Below are 23,081 nucleotides of genomic sequence, written 5' to 3' on the forward strand. Positions count from 1 at the left end.
CCCTCCCCCTTGCCGCTCACTAGGTCCTCTCTGTTTAATCTCAACAATCAATACTGTACAATCTCCTTGTGAACATACAATTTCTGTAAGGACTATGAATTATGAATAATAATATATGTATTTGGGAGAGAAGAGTCTTAAAAGTTAATTCCAGTTTGTAGAAGATTGTTTAGAAAAATCATAGCTTCTTCTAAAAAGATTTAAAAAAAAGAAAAATCATAGCTTCTAAGATGATTACAAAGAAATTGGTGTGGGTTTCCAACCTGGGCAACATAGTGAGACCTCATCTCTACCAAAAATAAAAAAAATTAACCAGTCTTGGTGGCACATACCTGTAGTCCCAGCTACTTGGGAGGCTGAGCCACTGACTCCAGCCTGGGCAACAGAGTGAGACTCTGTCTTAAAAATAAATAAATGAATAAATATTGAAGGAGAGAAGGAAGGAAATATTAGTTTGCATTTTTCTAAAGCATCCAAACTGTTGGAGATGGATAAGTGCATTTATACCATGAAGACTTTCTAGATCTATTGTTTCATTTCATTTATTGCCTAAGCCCAGAGGAACAAAGCTGCAGTGAGCTATGATCATGCCACTACACTCCAGCCTGGGCGACAGAGTGAGACCTGTCTCAAAAAAAAAAAAAAAAAACCCAACAAACAAAACTCCTTATGTGTGAATCCACTGTTGCATTCACCATTTAATATTGTAATGCTCTATTTTGTCTCACCTCCACTAGACTGTGCATTCTTTAAAGACCACAGCATATAGCCTTGTCATTCATGTGTCTTTCTTTGAGCATGTTCCAATCATGTGCAAAGAATTTTTTAATTAATGCTAATAACTAACATTTGTTGTACTCTATGATTAAGCATTTTTCATAAATTATTTTATCTAGCTCTGACATTCCAAGATTAAATGAGATAGCATGTGCATATTTTCTCATGCTTAACATATTCTCAATAAAAAATGTTGATTATCTTTTCCTGAGTTTTAGGACACAGCTTTATGCTATCTCTGTGATACCCTTTCAAACTGCCTCTGTGATATCCTTCCCCTGCCTTTTTTGGTTCCTTTCTTCTGTTTTCATAGCTCCTTATTCATACCTTTATTATATATGTGTGCGTGTGTGTGTGTGTGTGTGTGTGTGTATGTGTATAAAATATTATAGCAGACAAATGTCTCTGAGGGTAAAGATCTCATTTCTGTTTTCCTAAGGCCCAACACAGAGTCTGACACAGAGCAAAGGCCATATAAATATTGAAGGAGGGCCAGGTGCAGTGGCTCATGCCTGTAATCCCAACACTTTGGGAGGCCGAGGTGGGCGGATCACTTGAGGTCAAGAGTTCGAGACCAGCCTGGCCAACAGGATTAAACCCCGTCTCTACAAAAATTAGCCAGACATGGTGGCACGCACCTGTAATCCCAGCTATGTAGGAGGCTTGAGGCAGGAGAATCACTTGAACCCAGGAGGTGGAGGTTGCAGTGAGCCGAGATCATGCCACTGACTCCAGCCTGGGTGACAGAGTGAGACTCTGTCTTAAAAAAAAAATAAATGAATATTGAAGGAGAGAAGGAAGGAAATATTAGTTTGCATTTTTCTAAAGCATCTAAACTGCTAGAGATAAGTGTATTTATACCATGAAGACTTTCTAGATCTATTGTTTCATTTCATTCTCTTTATTCTTCATTCAGGATGTATGTTGTGTTCACAGCGAAGGTACTCCCTTCAGCCTGTCCCAGAAAGGAGGATTCCAAACCGATACTTAGGCCAGCCCAGCCCCTTTACACACCCACACCTCCTCAGACCAGGTAAGGCCTTTTAACTGTGCTATCTCCCCATTTAGGTTCTGTCTAGAGCAATGCTATGCAATAGAACTTCTTGCAGTAAGCTCTGGATCTGTGCTGTTCCATAAGGTAGCCACTAACCTCACATGGCCATTTTACACTAATAAGGTTGCTAGTACAGCTGAGGAGCTGAACTTTTTATTTTATTTAATTTTAATTAATTTAAATTTAAGCTTAACTACATGTGGGTACTGGTGCTTTATTGACAATACTAGTCTAGAACAAGGTTTAAATATGATAGACCTTATAATTCAGAATAATTAATGAAAGGTATGTATTTCAGGATGTTTTTAAAGCAAAGTTCTATTTCTAAGTCAGCTTTTAGAATTGTATACTATTGTGAATTACTGTGTTAAAGACATTTTAGAAAACATGTTTTTTCTTGAAATTATCAAATATTTACTTTAAAATTATAACCTATTTCTATATAGATTAAGCAAGATTTCCAGATTTGTTTGTCACAGATTTGAGAGGTAGTATCCCAGTTGATAAAGGTGATGCAAAAAAATGATAAAGGTTTGTTTTACTAATTTTTTTTTCTGCTATAAGATCCCAGCGTTGCTGCCAGAAGATGTCTTATAACTATTGCTCAAATTTAGACCTAAAGGTTTTTTGTTTTGATTTCTTGCACTTAAGGGGTGAACTATGACTAATGAATATCTCAGAGAGGAAGGTAGGGTAAAAGCAAACACATTGTAGAAAAAGCAATCAGGTTTTCAAGGAAAATTAATTGTTCTTTCTGCCATAAGAAATTAAATATGTATTTGCCATATAAGCATATATATTACTAATGGAAATTTACCTTTAGAAATATGTTCCTTTTTCACTATCCCCACTCAGTGAATGATACCAGTATGTTTCTCAGTGAGGGCTTCCTTTTGCTGATTTTTCATCAGACTCGAATTCCTGCTGGGAAGTCGGCTGAAACTAAGGAAATGCAGCTCACCACTGAAACCCACAAGAAATCAGAGTTTTTCAAAGCTGTAAGGTAAGCTTAATAGCAACCCAGTTGGTATTAATTTTAGTATTTATCTACCCTATCAACCTACCTGTAGACTCGAGTTATTTTTTTAAGTAGAATTGATAGTTTTACCAGCTTTGAAAATTACTGATTTCTTGTGGTGAGATATTTTTACATGGTAAGCTGCATTTTCCAGGCCTTAAACCTAGTAATTATATTGTCAAGATAATGGCCTCTGTATCTAGATTTTTTTGCTCTATACCTTAAGTGCATGTTAAGTATAAGTGAATGTAAATAAATATGTACACGTATATGTTCACATACATATGTATGTGAATATCTGGGGGAAAAGGGATGCCTGTCCTAATTTTACTCTCCTAGACGTGGGATTTTGGACATTGGGGTAAGTGAGAAGGGATGGAAGTAGATGGAATTTTAAAACAGAATTATTAGTATTTTAAACCTCAAACTATCAGATGTACCATTAGGTACAGATTTTTCTGCAGACAAAAGTATCAAAAGAATTAATCATTTGTGTTTCTCCTTCCAGAGATGCAAAACTTGTGGAAGTGTTAAAGTGATTGTAGGGTGAAGCAGAGTAAATTTTTAAGAAAAATTAAAAGGGGCCGGGCGCAGTGGCTCATACATGTAATCCCAGAACTTTGGGAGGCCAAGGTGGGTGGATCACCTGAGGCCAGGAGTTTGAGACCAGCCTAACCAATATGGTGAAATCCTGTCTCTACTAAAAATACCCCCCAAAAAAAAAATTAGCCGGGTGTGGTGGCATATGCCTATAATCTCAGCTACTGGGGAGGCTGAGGCAGGAGAATCACCTGAATCTGGGAGGCGGAGGTTGCAGTGAGCCAGAATTGTGCCACTGCACTCCAGCTTGGGGGACAGAGGGAGACTCTGTCTCAAAAAAAAAGGAAAAAAAATTTAAAGGCATGTAATACTTAAAAAGTCTCTTAGGCCAGGTACAGTGGCTCACGCCTATAATCCCAACACTTTGGAAAGACAAGATGAGAGGATCACTTGAGGTTAGGAGTTCGAGACGAGCATAGGCAACATAGCAAGACCCTGTCTCTATAAGAAATAAAAAAAATTAGTGCTCCTGCCTATAGTCTCAGCTACTCGGGGGACTCAGGTGGGAGGATTGCATGAGCCCAGGAGGTCAAGGATGCAGTGAGCTGTGATCATGCCTCTGCACTCCATCTTGGGTGACAGAATGAGACCGTGTCTCTCTCTCTCAAAAAAAGTCTCTTACGCAGTTGGCTTGTTAGTTTAGGATATAAAATTATGTAATGTGCACTTGGTTTCTCCAAAAGGTTTCATGTTTTGCATATTTCTCTAATACATGGCAGTATGTACTTAATACTTTTGGGAAACATCTCAATGCCTTTCCTAATTATTACGCAAGTTCTATACATACAGAAAAAGAGAATACAGGTAAGCATAGATTTTTTTTTTAATTACTAATAATCCCACAACTCAGAGAAAGCCACTGTTGAGAGGATTTTGGTATATGTTTCTTTTTAGTCCTATTTCTTACATAGGTGTATGTGTGTATAAGTGTACATGTGTACACATTCTTTGCATATTGCTCTATTATTTCCTTAAATTCTTAGAAGTGAAATTACTGGGGCCAGGCGCGGTGGCTCACACCTGTAATCCCAGCACTTTGGGAGGCTGAGGTGGATGGATCACGAGGTCAGGAGTTCGAGACCAGCCTGGCCAACATAGTGAAATCCCGTCTCTACTAAAAATAGAAAAATTAGCTGGGCATGGTGGCGCATGCCTGTAGTCCCAGCTATTCAGGAGGCTGAGGCAGGAGAATCACTTGAACCTGGGAGGCAGAGGTTGCAGTGAGCTGAGATCACGCCATTGCACTCCAGCTTGGGCAACAGAGTGAGACTTTGTCTCAAAAACAAAAACAAAAGTGAAATTACTGGGCCAGTTCCTCTGAATTCTTGGGAGCTATTTTTCCTAGATTTTTCTTTGCCATACCTACCTATCCAAGTTTCCTGAAGCATCAATAGCTTGGAAAATATTTAGCAGGATGATACAGGAAATAAAGAAATTCTGTTCTGGCTGTGCTAGGTTCTGTGATTTTACGGCTAGGTTCTAGTGATTTTCAAAACTTGTCATTTCCTTAGAGAAATCTGAGCACTGTAGACCATTTCTGCTTTTTATGACAGTGCCATCTCTGTGCTAAGGTCTGTATCGGTAGAGATGGAAAATGTTGGTCAGTCTCTTTGATTACTACCTTGTCTCACACTTGACACTCAGACATGAAAATGATTCCATGTAGGAAGGCAAGTGGCATTCTGAACTGTGAGTCTACTTTTTTTTTTTTTTGAGACGGAATTTCGCTCTTGTCGCCCAGGCTGGAGTGCAATGACACAATCTCTGCTCACTGCAACCTCTGCCTCCCGGGTTAAAGCAGTTCTGCTGCCTCAGCCTCCCAAGTAGCTGGGATTACAGGCGCCTGCTACCACATCCGGCTAATTTTTGTATTTTTAGTAGAAATGGGGTTTCACCATGTTGGCCAGGCTAGTCTCGAACTCCTGACCTCAGGTGATCCACCCGCCTCAGCCTCCCAAAGTGCTGGGATTACAGGTGTGAGCCACCACACCCAGCGATATTTACAGATTGTACAGATTATATTATATTATCTGTACAAGAAAGATGCTTCCATGGTTCCCTGATTATTGCCAAAGGAGTAATGTTGTCATTAGCAGGACAGCAAGACATTCATCTCAAAAAAACACTGAAACATATCAGAGAATGAACGGGAAGAATCAGTGGAATTCCTAATGAAGCATTATTTCTAAAATTTTTACATTCTTAAAATTAGTTTTAGAATATGTGGTATAGTTTGGAATGCTAGGTTTAAAAAGGGCTACTCAGGGAGTTGGGCTTGTCAGAATAACTTGTCTGACATATGTAGAACCACTTCATGGTTGTTTTCTTTTTCTTTTTCTTTTTCTTTTTTTTTTTTTTTTTTTTTTTTTGAGACAGAGTCTCGCTCTGTCGCCCAGGCTGGAGTGCAGTGGCGTGATCCGGCTCACTGCAACCTCCGCCTCCCAGATTCAAGCAATTCTCCTGCCTCAGCCTCCAGAGTAGCTGGGACTACACGTGTGCGCCACCACACCTGGCTAATTTTTGTATTTTTAGTAGAGAGGGGGTTTCACCATATTGGTCAGGCTGGTTTTGAACTCCTGACCTTGTGATCTGCCTGCCTTGGCCTCCCAAAGTGCTGGGATTACATGCGTGAGCCACCATGCCTGGCCCACTTCTTGGTTTTCAACTACAGCAGCAAACAGATTTTTAGGGAAATAATCAGAATGCAACTGTGTGGCATGAAATATAAGACGATGCTTTCACCATTTACCGTTTCATCTCTATCGTCAACTATAATGGCAGAAGCCAGGTGCGGTGGCTCACGCCTATAATCCCAGCACTTTGGGAGGCCTGGGCAACGTAGTGAGACCTTATCTCTGCAAAAAAGTAAGCAAAATTAGCTGAGTGTGTTGACAGATGTCTGTAGTCCTAGCTACGCCTATAATCCCAGCACTTTGGGAAGCTGAAGTAGGAGGATTGTTTGAGCCTGGGAAGTCAAGGCTGCAGTCAGCTGAGATTGTGCCACTCCACTTCAGCCTAGGCAACCGAGCAAGACCGTCTCAAAAATAAAATAAAATAGAAATAAAATAAATAAATAAATATAATGGCAGAGACAGTACAGTTACAGTGAATATAATATTTAAAATGATGAAATGATTGATTCTAGAGTGGGTTATAGATAATAATCCCCAAATCTTTTTCCCTTAAGAGTTTCAAAATCAGCTGCCCATCTTTCAGTGATAGTTTAATTGTAGCCGTCTCTTGAGCAAGGGATGCATTTTATTTTTAAAACTTGTTAAATATGGTTGATTTTAATAATATCTAAAAGACAAAGCTTATTTTGGTGGTGGTAAGATTTTTATACTATTTAAAAGATTAAAATGATGCTTGATAACAACTTTGGGGAGTTAGGAAGAAAAATAAAAAATAAATAAAATGATGCTTGAGACCAGGAGGTCAAGGCCGTAGTGAGCCATGATTGCGCCACTGCACTCTAGCCTGGGTGACAGAGTGTTACCCTATCTCAGAAGAATTTAAAAAATTAAAAGGAATCAAGAAATAACAGAAATTGGAAGTGGTTTGAACCTGCCTAGACTGTTGGGTAAGCTTTTTCAAAATATACATACGTGCTAGGACTCTATAAATAGAGTTGTTGAATGAGAATCTCAAAGGGAGGGCTTAGAACATGTGTTTTTGTTTTTGTTTTTTTTGAGACAGGGTCTCACTCTGTTTCCAAGGTTGGAGTACAGTGCCGAGATCATGGCTCACTGGAGTCTTGACCTCCGGGGGTCAAACAATCTTCCTGTCTCAACCTCCTGAATAGCTGGGACTACAGGCATGCACCATCATGCCCAGCTAATTTTTATATTTTTTATAGAGATAAGGTCTCACTATGTTGCCCAGGCTGGTCTTGAACTCCTGGACTCAAGCAATTCTACCACCTTGGCCCCCCAAAGTGCTGGAATTATAGGCATGAGCCACCATACCCAACCGGAACATGTGTTTTGAAGAGCTCCCCGGGCGTTTCTCACATACACCACTAACCTAGTGGGTACTCATTTAGCTAGGTGCATGAGATGCCTGATGACTTAAGGGGACAAGCCAGTTCTGTGGCCATTGGTCATGTTTTAAAGCAGAGAATGTGCCTTCCACATGCCTCTGTAGTCTCATCCCCAGTCACTCAGTCCTTAAATTCATTCACATCTTTATCATCATCACCACCATCAATAAGTGATGACGTTACATTTATCTAACCATTTCAACACTTTTTTAATAGATTATACCTGATAGAATAGTAGACTAAAAGTTTTGTATCCTACAGGTTTTAAATTTAAGTTGAAGGTCTACTTTTTCTATAAGTACTTCACCATGAAGCCCACCTGTTTTATAAAGTAATATATTTTATTTTCTCACCCCAATGTACCTATGTAATTTTATTTGTTTTTGTTTTTGCTTTTTTTGAGATGGGGTCTTGCTCTGTCTCCCAGGCTAAACTGCAGCGGCATGATCATATCTCACTGCAGTCTCGACCTCCCAAGCGATCCTCCCACTTCAGTTTCCCAAGTAGCTAGGACTACAGGCATAAGCCACCATGCCTGGCTAATTTTTTAAATTTTTGTAGAGATGGGATCTCACTTTGTTGCCAGGGCTTACTTATATAATTTTTTTAAATCACTGTATTCATAGTGATTAAATGTTTCCTCTTGTCTTCATCTCCTGATTCAATTTTAATGCAGAATAAATAATGTAGTCTCTATGTAAATAAATTTATAGATGAATAAACCTGTTTTTTACTTACATGTCTAGTACATATTGATAGACCATTTCAGGATGCCATTATACCAATAATCTGTAAACCACCATCTAGTGAAGAATTATAGAGGATTTCCCTGTTTGTTTGTTTGTTTGTTTTTAAGCCCTAGGGAGAAATAGAAAATCTTGAAATATAATAAAGTTTTCATGTAGTATAAATACTAGAAAATTAAAAATAAATGACTTGGCTGGGCACGGTGTCTCACACCTATAATCCCAGCACTTTGGGAGGCCAAGGTGGGCCGATTGCTTGAGGCGTGGAGTTTGAGAACAGCCTGGCCAACGTAGCAAACTCCACCTCTACTAAAAAAAAAAAAAAAAAAAATTAGCCAGGCATGGTGGTGCATGCTTGTAATCCCAGCTACTCAGGAGACTGAGGCATGAGAATCACTTGAACCCAGGAGTCAGAGGTTGCAGTGAGCTAAGATTGCGCCACTGTGCTCCAGCCTAGGCAACAGAGCAAGACTCTGTCTCAAAAAATAAATAAATAAATGACATTTGTATTTCTCTTTTTTACCTTTGTGTGTAGTCCTCATTGACACTGAGAAACTCTCTGAGGTAAAGATTAGCAAGAATCAGCCCTAGACAAGAATTAGGAGCTACCTAAAGAAATGAATAATAATGAAAAGTTTCTAAATGGTCAATGGAGATTCATTCCTAACATGTGAAAAAGCCAAAGACTTCCAGGTCTTCTATGTAAATAATTATTTTGATTTCATTTGTTGTCATAATAGCGGTTGTCCATGTAAATTTTACTCTTCTAAGATCCTGCCTGGCTTTGGATTCCCGGGTGACAACCAGTTCAAGTGTAAATTTTTTATTTTGGTAATAATTATAGCTAATACTTATGTAGTGCTAAGTGTTACGTTTTAAGTGTTTTATTACTTAAATCCACTTAGGTGGATTATTGTATAATCCACATAACAACTTTGTGAAGTCAGTGCTATTGTTATTTCCATTTTACATGAGGAAACTGAGGCACAGAGAAGTTTGGTAGCTCTTTCCAAACTTAGTGAATTGCTAAGCCAGGATTCCAACTCACAAAAACCTAACTCAGAATCCACACTTTCAACCACAAAACAGTGCATAATACCTATGCCAAACATAATACCTGTGTCACTCAGTGAATTGCTAAGCCAGGATTCCAACTCACAAAAACCTAACTCAGAATCCACACTTTCAACCACAAAACAGTGTATAATACCTATGCCAAAAAATACTATCTGGTAATATTTTTTAAAGTATTTTCTCCTTACATTTTTTATAAGACATCCATCTGAGAGAAGTCTTAGTATAAAAGTTATTTCAAGTTTGGAGAGTAGTATACTTTTTTTAAATCAGGTAAAATTTATATGCAGCGAATTTCACAGATCTTACATATGCAGTTCAGTGAGCTTTAACAAAGGTAACCTACAGCTCAGTCAAGATACAGAACATTTCCATCGTCCTGGAAAGTTCCCTCATGCTCCTCCAGTCAGTCTCCACCTTCATAGGCAGCCACTCTTTTGGTTTCTGTCATCATAGACTGTTTTGCCTTTTCTTGACTTTGTGTAAGTAGAATCATACAGAATCATAATATGTATATGTAGCCTTTCTGTTTGTTTAGTTTTGCTCAATATATGCAAATCTATTTAGAGTATTTTTTATTCAGTCATTGCATTTTTTCTGAGAGGCCTGTTTTACATTATAAAGGAAACACTAGCTTTTTCTTTCACCCCATTCTCCAACTGCACAGTAATAGTTTATTAATTACTTCCTTATATGCTGCGAAAACTACCTAATATTAAGCAGACTTCTTTTCAAAATCAGACCATGTTAAAATTCTAATCTAGTTAGTTTCAGGAAATAATTAAAAATACAAACCTAGATTGTAGTAGAGACCTGTATCATTTCATCCATTTTCAGTCTTTGTTATATCTTCCTTTCTGGGTGTTTTGTGTAGCTGGTAAAATATGAAGAACATTATTGCTTTTCTCTTCGAGAGGCATGATCTTAAGTGTCCTGGAAGAGCTTTCCTTCTTGGCTGCAGAATCTCAGAACTGATAGTGAGACTTTGCAGAGTCCAGCTTCCAATATCTAGGCTTTCGATTGGCTCAATAAACTTGTTAGAAGAGCCTTTCCATCTTAAGTGGTTCCACATCATAAAATGCTGACTTTGTTTTTTAATTCTTTACAGTTTTACCACGTTGCCTGAGGATCTATTGAGATATAGTTTTATCAGAAGAAATTCAGGCCAGATTGACTATAAAGTTGAGTTCTGTGATCAAAGGCCATAACACCTTCCAAGTTTACTCCTAGGGTTTAAAGGTCATTGCTTTAACACATTTTTTTTCCTCCTTCACATGGAAAGGTTTCTTTTTTCTTGAGTAAATTTTTTGTTTCTGGGTACAGTGGCTCACGCCTGTAATCCCAGCATTTTGGGAGGCCGAGGCCGGTGGATCACCTGAGGTCAGGAGTTCAAGACCAGCCTGACCAACATGGTGAAACCCCATCTGTACTAAAAATACAAAATTAGCCGGGCGTGGTGGCACATTCCTGTAATCCCAGCTACTTGGGAACCTGGGGCAGGAGAATTGCTTGAACCTGGGAGGCGGAGGTTGCAGTGAGCCGAGATTGTGCCATTGTACTCCAGCCTGGGCAACAAGAACAAAGCTCTATCTCAAAAAAAAAAAAAAAAATGTGTTGTGATGGAGAGTGCTTTGTTGCGTTGAGATTTTAGAAGTTTAGAAGCATTTACTTAATGATCACTCAATAGTGTTGATAATTAATAGGTTTGGGAAAATATAGCCAGTGTTTTAAATATTTCTCATGTAGTCAATTGTATGAAATTGGATTCAGCAAACATAGGAATACTTTGAAGGGTATAAAAGATGGTTTTTTTGATCCTGCTTTGATTTCCAAATAATTTTCTTGTTTTAGAAGTAACTTCCTGATATGTGTTAATGTATACTGTTACTAATGAAAATGAGAGATAACACATAGTTATTAAAATTATGGATTTTCTTACCTTCTGAAATAAAAAAGAATTGATTTTTAAATTTCTTTCTTTTTTTTTTTTTGAGACGGAATCTTACTCTGTCGCTCAGGCCGGAATGTAGTGGTGTGATCTCAGCTCACTGCAACCTCTGCCTCCTGGGTTTAAGCAATTCTCCTGCCTCACCCTCCCAAGTAGCTGGGACTACAGGTGTGCGCCACCATACCTGGCTAATTTTTTGTATTTTTAGTAGAGACAGGGTTTCATCGTGTTAGCCAGACTGGCCTTGAACTCCTGACCTCAGGTGATCTGCCTGCCTCGGCCTCTCAAAGTGCTAGGATTATAGGCGTGAGCCACTGCACCCAGCTGATTTTTAAATTTCTTTTTATTTTATGGACTATAGCTGTGAAATAGCCAAAAGCAAAGTTCAGGAAAGGAAGAAAATAAGATGAAAAAAAGGAAAGGTCGGATAATTCATCAGTTATAACCAGCCTCTGCTTTTGTAAGAGTATTTACTACTTGAGTAAATTAGGAAATTTTCAATGTTGAGTAACAGTGGCAGACTTAACATGAATAATTATCAAGGAAATAAATAGCTGTAGTACAAAGTTCAGTATTCTGCCTAAGAAACCTAGGAGACTCTTAGCCAGCTCAATCTTGAAAGAAAAAAATGTGATATGAGCTCTTCTTGGCCCCATTTTGTTGCTTCAGCTGCTTCACATTGGCCCGTAAGGCCTCCACTTATCACTCTCTCTTATTTCTTGCCAACTTCATCAACAAAAACATAAATTTGTTTCTATTGTAGATGTCCGAAAAGTTAAATAAAAATATTTTATTAATGGAATACAAGTTACAGAATTTGCTGGTGAGATAAACTATATATAGGTAAAACAATTAGATCCTAGGCCATGGGACATGGGTCACACCTGTAAACCCAACACTTTGGGAGGCCGAGGCAGGCAGATTGCTTGAGGCCGGGAGTTCGAGACCAGCCTGGGCAACATGGTGAAACCCCATCTCTACTAAAAATAGAAAAATTAGGCCAGGCATGGTGGCTCATGCCTGTAATCCCAGCACTTTGGGAGGACTAGGCGGGCAGATCATTTGAGGTCAGGAGTTCGAAACCAGCCTGGACAACATGGTGAAATCTTGTCTCTACTGAAAATACAAAAATTAGCCAGGCCGTGTGGTACACACCTGTAATACTAGCTATTCAAGAGGCTAAGGCAGGAGAATTGCTTGAACCGGGAAGTCGGAGGGTGCAGTGAGGTGAGATCACGCCACTGCCCTCCAGCCTGGGTGACAGAGCAAGACTCTTTCTCAAAAAATAGTAGCAATAAATAAATAAAAATACAAAAATAGTCAGGCCTGGTGGCTCACGCCTGTAATCCCAGCTATTTGGGTGGCTGAGGCACAAGAATCACTTGAACCCAGGAGGTAAGAGTTTTAATGGGCCAGGATCGTGCCACTGCTCTCCAGCCTGGGTGACAGAGCAGGACTCTGTCTCCCAAAAAAAAAAAAAAAAAAAAAATTAGATCTAAGGTAATCATATACTGAACATGAGTACTAAGGAAATTCAAAGATCTTTGACCAAGCCGTTTTTCTCCTGGGACTATCCCCATAATAATTAAAGCACCAGTACATGGGACATAAAAGTACTAAGATATAAGTACAAAGATATTTATTATAGCAGCAAAAAGCTGAAAAGCAGTTTGAATTCCTACAGTATAGAAATGGCTGAATAAGTTATGGTCTCTTCACCCCAAGAAATGTCATGGAGGCATCAAGCAGAATGAATTGAAGCTATACCAAACGACTTGAAGGAAAAGCATTCCATGACATATTGTTCTGTTGGAAAAGGAAGATACCAAAAAGAGTGTGTAGTGTCCCATTTTGTAAAACAGTAGTGATCCAAAAAGCCCCAAATGCATGTATGTATGATTTTGTGAGAGTTGAGAAAACTCAGAAAAGATACATACTAGATTACAAACCTGGGCAAGGTGTTGATGTGAGTAGGAGAAGGGAATAGGGATAAGGAGCCAAACAATGAAGGAAAGAGGGAAAAACATTTATTGAAATAATTCAGTATTACATTTATCTACAACTGTACAGTGTGTGTATATAAGGAAGTGAAATTGTTACCTTTTTAAAATTAAGAGGGGGCCGGGCACGATGGCTTACACCTGTAACCCCAGCACTTTGGGAGGCTGAGGCAGGCCAAGATTGCGCCACTGCACTTCAGCCTGGGAGATAGCGAGACTCCCTCTCAAAAAAAAAAAAAAAAACCATTGGCCAAGTCAGCAAAGGCCCTATATTGTATAGTTTCATTATATAAAATCTCTGCAGTAGGCAAATCCATAGAGACAGATAATAGATTAGGAGTTGCCAGGGGCTGGAGGATTGTGAGAAAATGGGGAGTAACTGCTCATAAACATGGAGGTTTTTTTTGTTATTGAAATGTTTTAAAATGCATTGTGGTGATGGTTGCACAATTATGTGACATACCAAAAACTCTTGAATTATATACTTTATTATTATTATTTTGAGATGGAGTCTTGCTTTGTCGCGTAGACTGGAGTGCAGTGGCGGGATCTTGGCTCACTGCAACCTCCACCTCCCAGGTTCAAGCGATTCTCCTGCCTCAGGCTCCCGAGTAGCTGGGATTACAGGCATGCACCACCACACATGGCTAATTTTTGTGTTTTTTTTAGTAGAGATGAGGTTTTACCATGTTGGCCGGGCTGGTCTTGAACTCCTGACCTCAGGTGATCTGCCTGCCTTGGCCTCCCAAAGTGCTGGGATTTCAGGCGTGAACCACCTCAGCTAGTCGGGAGGCTGAAGTGGGAGAATTGCTTGAGCCTGAGAGGCAGAGGTTTCAGTGAGCCGAGATCATGCCACTGCACTCCAGCCTGGGCAACAAGAGCGAAACTCTGTCTCAAAAAAAAAAAAAAAATTATATTCAATGAATATAACTGAGTGAGTAAAAGAATGAGCCAAAGACCTGGAAGAGATCTAAGGGGTCCATGATTCCAGATTTCAGGCGGGGCCACATTCAACTATCATTTCTTCCAAATTTTTGCAGTGGAATACAAGTTTGAAACCTGGTTATCTCCTTAATTCTCCATGTGCTGTGAGGAGATTTGGCATAAATTGAACAATTGGACTTGAGTATTTCCATCTAATATTAAACTACCTTAAGTACTTTGGCACTGCAGAAATGTAAAGCATCCCTTTTATTTGTCATTTCTAGGGGAGGTAACTCCAGGACTATCTCAGGTGGAATATGCACTTCGCAGACACAAACTAATGTCTCTGATCCAGAAGGAAGCTCAAGGGCAGAGTGGGACAGACCAGACAGTGGTTGTGCTCTCCAACCCTACATACTACATGAGCAACGATATTCCCTATACTTTCCACCAAGACAACAATTTCCTGTACCTATGTGGATTCCAAGAGCCTGATAGCATTCTTGTCCTTCAGAGCCTCCCTGGCAAACAATTACCATCACACAAAGCCATACTTTTTGTGCCTCGGCGAGATCCCAGTCGAGAACTTTGGGATGGTCCGCGATCTGGCACTGATGGAGCAATAGCTCTAACTGGAGTAGACGAAGCCTATACGCTAGAAGAATTTCAACATCTTCTACCAAAAATGAAAGGTAACAAATGGGAGCAGAAGTCACATTACAAACCAGATTGGGATTAAAACCTTTCTTGCCTGTTTAGACAAGTCCTTAATTTTGTTATCGTAGCACCACCATGAAAAGACCATGAGCACCATGAAAGAAATGTAAAGTCTTTTTCAGAAGATTGAGCTTCTTTAAAGATTTCATTTATGCCTGGTGCATTGGCTCACGCCCGTAATCCCAGCACTTTGGGAGGCCGAGGCAGACAGGTTCCTTGTGGCCAGGAGTTCAAGACCAACCTGGCCAACATGGCGAAACCCCGTCTCTACTAAAAATAGAAAAATTAGCCAGGCATGGTCGCAGGCGCCTGTAATCCCAGCTACTCAGGTGGCTCAGGCAGGAGAATCACTTGAGCCCGGGAGGTGGAGGTTGCAGTGATCCGAGATCATGCCACTGCATTCCAGCCTAGGCAACAAAGCAAGACTGTCTTAAAAAAAAAAAAAGATTCATTTATTCATTTGCAGGAGGTTACAGTGAGCCAGTGAGCTAAGATCCCGCCACTGCACTCCAGCCTAGGCGACAGAGCAAGACTCCATCTCAAAAAAAATAATAAAATGAAAGTATATAATTTAAGAGTTTTTGGTATAGTCATAGAATTGTGCAACCATCACCACAATGAATTTTAGAACATTTCAATTAAAAAAAAACTCCATGTTCACTGGATTATTCATTAATGGAGACTGTTACCTATCCTAGTTTGAAATCTCACAGAGAATTTTCTTTTAAAGCAAAGGATAAGCCAGACACAGTGGTGTACGTCTGTAGTCCAGCTACTGGAGAGGCTGAGGTAGAAGGATCGCTTGAGGCCAGGAGTTCAGGTCCAGACTGCACAACGTAGTGAGACCCCATCTCCAAAAAATAAATAAATTAAGGACAGGATGGGCATGGACCACTCTTCAAGATTACTGACCAGCTTCTTGATATTTGACAACTACTTCTTATCTTAGTGCTCTTGCCAGCTCTTCAAAAGGAGGTACTGTTCTCCAAGAACGATCCATGCATCACAGCATCAGAATCACCTGGTAATGCATATTAAAATTAAAAATGCATAATATGTAATAGAAATTAAAATCTCAGGCCTCCATCCCCTATCTACTGAATCAGAATCTGCATTTTAACAGATCTTTTGTGGTTCATATACAGTTGAGTTCTTTTTTTGTTTTTTTTTAGGCAGGGTCTCACTCTGTCACCCAGGTTGGGATGTAGGTATAGTGGCACACTCATGGCTCACTGCAACCTCGAACCCCAAAGCTCAAGCAGTCTTCCTGCCTCAGCCTCCAGAATACTGGGACTACCTGGGCACACCACTATGTCTGGCTAATTTTTTTTTATTTTTTTGTAGAGATGGAGTTTCACTTTGTTGCCTAGGCTGGTTTTGAACTCCTGGCCTCAAGTGAGCCTCCCACCTCAGCCTCCTGAAGTGCTGGGATTACAGGTGTGAGGCACCGTGCCTGGCCATAGTTGAGTTCTTGTCCCTCAAAGAAATTACTTTCTCTACAGTTATTCTGGTGAAATTTTAATCAATCCGAATGTTTTGAGATTTTTCTTCTGGGAATTTTTTCAGAACCTACACCACATTATAAACTATCTTTAGTAATTCTTAAAAAACTTTAGCTCTGGGAAGTATTTTATTTTTTGAAGTATCTTATTTGGAAAATAAGATAGATGCTCAAGTTTAAAAATACTGATTTTAGGTCAAGATAATGTATAATTATAAAGTTTTTGTTTGATTTTTCTTACATGGGTTACAAATCATATCTGAAGTTAGCTTCTAAAAGAGAATTCCAAAAATGTTTTTCACAATCATAAAATATATTAGACTGTTTCCTGTAAAGCCTCTTTTGGAAGAAAATACTCATTTGAATATGTAAGTTCTAATACATTTGATTAAATTCTTTTTATTTATAGAAATGTTTTCCATTTTATAGATAATTAGCCTGTTCAATTCATTGAACTTTCTTATGTCTTCAAAATCCACATAAATGTGGGGCATAGAATCATTTTCTTTCTAGCTTTTTTCTTACATTAGTTGCTACTTGTCATGTTCTACTGTCTAAGTTTTATTAATTCAGTATAGTTACAATCTCATGTAAAATAAATTTCTCAAAAGTACTTCTCGGTCACCATTCCTTTTTTTTTTTTTTTGAAACAGAATTTCGCTCTTGCCCAGGCTGGAGTGCAATGGCACCATCTCGGCTCACTGCAACTCCTGCCTCCCAGGTTCAAGTAATTCTCCTGCCTCAGCCTCCCGTGTAGCTGGGGTTACAGGCACGCGCCACCATGCCCGGGGAATTTTTCTGTTTTTTTTTAGTAGAGACAAGGTTTTACCATGTTAGTCAGGCTGGTCTCGAACTCCTGACCTCAGGTGATCCACCCCCCTCAGCCTCCCAGGGTGCTGGGATTACAGGCGTGAGCCACCGTGCCTGGCTAAAATCATATTTATTGAAAGGTTTAAAAACCTTTAAAAAAGTGAGCTATGATTTCATACACTTTGAACGTGTAGTAGAGATTGTTTTACTTTTTAAAAATTACAACAATTGGCCGGGTGCAGTGGCTCACGCCTGTAATCCCAGCACTTCGGGAGGCCAAGGGAGGTGGATTGCCTGAGATCAGGAGTTCGAGACCAGTCTGGACAACATGGTGAAACCCCGTCTCTACTAAAAATACGAAAAAATTAGCTGGACGTGGTGGCATGCGCCTGTAATCCCAGCTACTTGGGAGGTTGAGGCAGGGGAATTGCTTGAACCAGGGAGGTGGAGGTTGCAGTGAGCCGAGATCGCGCCACTGCACTCCAGCCTGGGTGACAGAGCAAGACTACGTCTCAAAAAAAAAAAAAATTACACGACAATTAAATTTCCATCTATCGTAAGTAGGAAGGTGTTTCCCATGTAGTATATATTTAGAACCATTTTTATTTTAAAAATGAAAATATGTAGGACATAGAATCACATAGGACATAGAATCATAGAATCAGTGCATATCCAATCAAAGTTTTCTGGATTTTTTCCCCTCTACTTTCCCCAAAGTACTTTTTAGTCATATAAAATATTCAGACCTTCTCACTTGGATTGTTAGGAATACTGTTTGTAGCCTACTGTTAGAAAAAAAGAACAAATGTAGATCTGATATTAAGTGCAAATCATTTTTATAATGAGCCTTTATATCGTATATCTTAGGCAAATACAGACCATTTCCTTAGGTCTCTAAAGTTGAAAGCTGAACTGTGATTGTTTACAAAGAGAATGTATAGCAGATGCAAAGGGAGAAGTGAGGAAATATCAACTGTAGTTTTTCCATAGCAATGAATAATTGCTCCAGAATGGGAGGAGAACCCTTTCCTCTAGTACTGAGATCATTATGTGAAAGGATGGGACACTTTACCCATAAAGTCATGATCTGAGTATGTTTTTCTGTCCTTCTGTGTGCAATTATTCAACAAGTGCCTCTAGCTCAGTAAGTGGTGGTGAAGAACAGTTGTTCTAATTGTTTAATAATGAAGGCCGGGCATGGTGATTCACGCCTGTAATCTCAGCACTTTGGGAGACTGAGGCGGGTGGATCACAAGTCAGGAGTTCGAGACCAGCCTGACCAATATGGTGAAACCTCATCTCTACTGAAAATACAAAAATTAGCTGGGCATGGTGGCGGGCACCTGTAGTCCCAGCTACTTGGGAGGCTGAGGCAGAAGAATCGTTTGAACCTGGGAGGCGGAGGTTGCAGTGAGCTGAGATTGTGCCACTGCACTCCAGCCTGGGCAACAGAGCAAGACTCCATCTCAAAAATAAAGAGAGAGAGAAAGAGAGAAAATCAAAGCTTGACTAAAGCTTTAGTCCCGTATCATCCTTTATAAAGAACACTGAAGTTTAGGGGCAGAAAAGCTGTATATTCAGTCTTAGAATATCTTGCCATTTCCAGGGAATGACCTTTCTAATGATTTATAATCAAACCTTTATTGCTTCAGTCCTGAGAGAGTCTTAAGTCTCAACACTTTAGAGTTCCACGTTACAGGTTTTATAGTTTTGACTCTTGTTCAAGTCGTTATGACAGTTGATATTTCTTGTTGCTGGTAGTTTTGTTTTAAATTTATTTTTCGGCTTCTCATTCTAAGCTGAGACGAACATGGTTTGGTATGACTGGATGAGGCCCTCACATGCACAGCTTCACTCTGACTATATGCAGCCCCTGACTGAGGCCAAAGCCAAGAGCAAGAACAAGGTTCGGGGTGTTCAGCAGCTGATACAGCGCCTCCGGCTGATCAAGTCTCCTGCAGAAATTGAACGAATGCAGATTGCTGGGAAGCTGACATCACAGGTATGATTCCTATTGAAAAGTTTTTTCCAGCCGGGCGCGGTGGCTCACGCCTGTAATCCAAGCACTTTGGGAGGCCGAGGCAGGTGGATCATGAGGTCAGGAGATCGAGACCATCCTGGCTAACATGGTGAAACCCCGTCTCTACTAAAAAAACATAAAAAATTAGCCGGGCATGGTGGCGGGCTCCTGTAGTCCCAGCTACTCGGTAGGCTGAGGCAGGAGAATGGTGTGAACCCGGGAGGCAGAGCTTGCAGTGAGCCGAGATCGGGCCACTGCACTCCAGCCTGGGCGACAGAGCGAGACTCCATCTCAAAAAAAAAAAAAAAAACAAGAAAAAAAGAAAAAGTTTTTTCCAGATTGGAAAAATCGTAAGCTCTTGAGGTCGTATACCCAATGCAGCAGTCTCCTCACCGCAGAATGGCATCTAGCTTCTGCTCCAGTGTGTAGTGAACATACCTAGAGACTTGCTTAATACCTTGCAAGACAAAGTAAATCTGCCTTCTGTTAAGATGGTTCTTTTACCCATCAATCTTAATTATTTCTCCTTAGAACGACAGAAATTAATACTGTTTCTTTTCCTTATAGTTACACTAATAGTGTCAGTTAAACAGTTTGGTTCTAAGAAAGACTCAGGACCCAAAGTGACAATGCTTACAGATCTGCAGTTTATTATAGGAAAAGGGTAAAAAATAACCATAATATGAAAGTAAGGATATATATCACAGCCAATGGCTGTCTCAAAGCAAGGAGTCTAGAGAAGCCAGGTGCAGGCTTCTCTGGTCCTCCCTAGGTGAGGGCCAGGCAGGATGTATCTTTCTCTTACAGATTAGGAATCACCAGTGTTGTCATACTCTGCTCAGGCTGCCATTACAAAATATCACAGTCTGCATGGCTTAAACAAGAGAAATGTATTGTCTCATAATTTTGCAGTCTGGAAGTCCGAGATCAAGGTGCCATCATGGTCCATTTCTGGTGAGGGCTCTCCCGGCTTACAGAAGGCGGCTTTCTTGCTGTGTCCTTACATGACAGTGAAAGAGGGCCTTTTTACAAGGCCATGGTCCTATCAAATTAGAGCCCCACCCTTAATTACCTAATTTAACCTTAACTACCTCCTAAAGACATAGAGATTAGAGCTTTAACACATTAATTCTGCGGGAAACACAATTCAGTCCATGGCACATGCAACAGACTACCTCAGAATCAGAGACTCCAAAATGGAATCTCAGCTAGGGATTTTTGTTTTTTTGGTCACATAATCATATTCCTGCTACGTAACAGTAAAGCCCCCCGAGAGTTTTCACAGAGACCAAGTGTAAACCATAAATCTCACTGGCAAACTGATAGAAACTATCCCAAAACTCCCTATTTCATTTATTCTCTCCAAGGTGTTGGCCATTGACTTAATTTAAAAAAATCTTTTTACTGTGGTGAAATGTGCATAACATAAAATATATCATTTTAACCGTTTTTAAGTATGCAAATCAATGACATTAAGTACATTCACATTGTTGTGCCCACTTTTTCCCGACTTTCTCCATCATTCCAAATAGAAACTGTACAGATAAATAATAACTTCCCATTCTCCCCTCCTCCAGCCCCCAGTAACCTCTACTTTCTCTGTGAATCTACCTATTCTAGCTACTTCATATAAATGGAATCATACAACATTTGGCTTTTTGTGACTGGCTTATCTCACTTAGCATAATGTTTTTAAATTTCTTCCATTAGAATTTCACTTTTGTTTTTTAGATAGAGTCTCGCTCTGTTGCCCAGACTAGAGTGCAGTAGCATGATCACAGCTCACTGCAGTCTCGACCTCCTGGGTTCAAGTGATCCTCCCACCTTAGCCTCCCAAGTAGCTGGGACCATTGGTGCATGCCACTATGCCTGCTAATTTTTTAAATTTTTTGTAGAGACAGGGTTTCTCAGTGTTGTCCAGGCTAGTCTCGAACTCCTGAGCTCAAGCAGTCCGCCCACCTTGACCTCCCAAAGTGCTGGGATTACAGGTATGAGCTGCCATGCCCAGCTTCATTCTTTTTAAAGACTGAATAATATTCCATTGTATGCGTATGCCATATTTTATTTGTCTATTCATCCATTGATAAACATTTGGTTTCTATCTTTTTTTTTTTTTTACTATTGTGAATAATGTTGCTGTAAACATAAGTGTACAAATATCTTGTGTTCAAGTCTCTTTTAATTCCATTTGGTATATACACACAACTGGAGTTGCTAGATCAAATGGTAATTTTATGTTTAATATTTTGAGGACCACCATACTGTTATCCATAGTGGCTGCACCGTTTCACATTCCCACTAGCAACGCACCAAGGGTTTCAATTTCTCCACTCTACACCAACATTTGTTCTGTTTTTGTGGCAATAGCCAATCCTAATGTGTGTGAAGTGGTATCTTACTGTGGTTTGGATTTGTATTTCCCTAATGATTAGTGGTGTTGGGCATCTTTTTATGTGCTTCCTGCCTTCCTAATGGTTTTTTTTTTGTTTTGTTTTGTTTTGTTTTGTTTTTTCTTTTTGAGACAGTGTCTCGCTATTGCTCAGGTTGGAGTGCATGGTGAGATCATAGCTTACTGCAACCTTGAATTCCTGGACTTAGGGGATACTCTTGCCTCAGCCTCCTGAGTAGCTTGGATTACAGGCACATACCACCATGGCTGTTTTTAGGTTTTTGTAGAGATGGGGTGTCACTATATTATCCAGGCTGGTGTTGAACTCCTGGCCTCAAGAGATCTTCCATCCTCAGCCTCCCAAAACACTAAGATCACAGGCATGAGCCAACATGTCCAGCATCCTCTTAACACTTTCAGTCAGTATGTTTCCTGCCACACCTTGACCAAGGAAGGAACTTTAGCAAAATAGCTCTGGCTAATTCTAAACCTGGAATTAGCACAACAGTTCACTCTACCCCCATAACCAACATTAACTCTATTTTTTGATAAAACAGTAATCCTGAGTTGACAACAGTTACTTCACTTCTCAATATCATATAGATAATCAAAATACATAGACAAGCAGGGCATAGTGGCTCACCCCTATAATCTCAGCACTGAGGCCAAGGTGGGAGGATCACGTGAGGCAGCGAGGAGTTAGAGACCAGCCTGGCAACATGGCAAGACCTCACCTCTACAAAAAAAGATATTTTAATTAGCCAGGCATTGTGGCATATGCCTGTAGTCCTAGCTACTCTGGAGGCTGAGGCAGAAGGATCACTTGAGCCCAAAAGTTTAAGGTTACAGTGAAGTATTATCACATCACTGCACTCCAGCCTTGGTGACAGAGCAAACACTGTCTCTAAAAAAATGCATACACAGAATCCAAACATTTACAATGATCAGTGAAGGGTTGGTACTGATTTAAACAGACAGCTGAATTATCCAATTACACTTTCTTGTGTTTTTGTACGAACTGTACAGTCCTTTGGCCTCCTTGATCCACAGTTTTCTGCACTTCATGGTATATATCTGCTGAGTTATTAAAAATAATAATCTATCATTAATCAAGTCTAAATATTCATCAAGCCAATTCTCCTCCATAGGGATAACATCCCAACAGGACTTTAATTCAGTCTCTCAATGTATTTGATCATCATCATCAGTATTATACTAAATTTTATAAGCTCCTAAAATATTAATTTTACCTGACCCCTATATTACATCATATAGCAGTACCATTGAAGTGAGAAGTCAGACAAAATTTAGCTGCTAAAGGCTTACATTAAAATAAAAATTAAGGCCAGGTGTGGTGGCTCACACCTGTAATCCCAGCACTTTGGGAGGCTGAGGCAGGAGAATCACTTAAGCTTAGGAGTTCAAGACTAGCCTGGGCAACATGGAGAGACCCCCCCATCTCTA

General features: G+C 39.8%; 1 protein-coding gene and 1 long non-coding RNA gene across 2 annotated transcripts in view; one reads left to right on the top strand and one right to left on the bottom strand.

The window, feature by feature from the left end:
- XPNPEP3 (X-prolyl aminopeptidase 3) overlaps window positions 1-23,081 on the top strand; it is a 75,668-nt gene that overhangs the window by 10,158 nt on the left and 42,429 nt on the right. The window contains exons 2-4 of the mRNA NM_022098.4: window positions 1,694-1,810; window positions 14,465-14,872; window positions 19,008-19,210. Of these exons, the coding sequence (NP_071381.1) occupies window positions 1,694-1,810; window positions 14,465-14,872; window positions 19,008-19,210 (728 nt within the window). The remainder of the gene's footprint in view (window positions 1-1,693; window positions 1,811-14,464; window positions 14,873-19,007; window positions 19,211-23,081) is intronic.
- On the bottom strand, window positions 8,042-10,290 carry LOC124905124 (uncharacterized). Its single transcript, XR_007068111.1, has 3 exons — window positions 10,104-10,290; window positions 8,758-8,843; window positions 8,042-8,346 (listed from the first exon to the last, which is right to left on the bottom strand). It is a non-coding gene; the product is annotated as an uncharacterized LOC124905124 (long non-coding RNA).

Source organism: Homo sapiens, chromosome 22 (genome assembly GCF_000001405.40).
Source record: "Homo sapiens chromosome 22, GRCh38.p14 Primary Assembly".
NCBI lineage: Eukaryota > Metazoa > Chordata > Mammalia > Primates > Hominidae > Homo > Homo sapiens.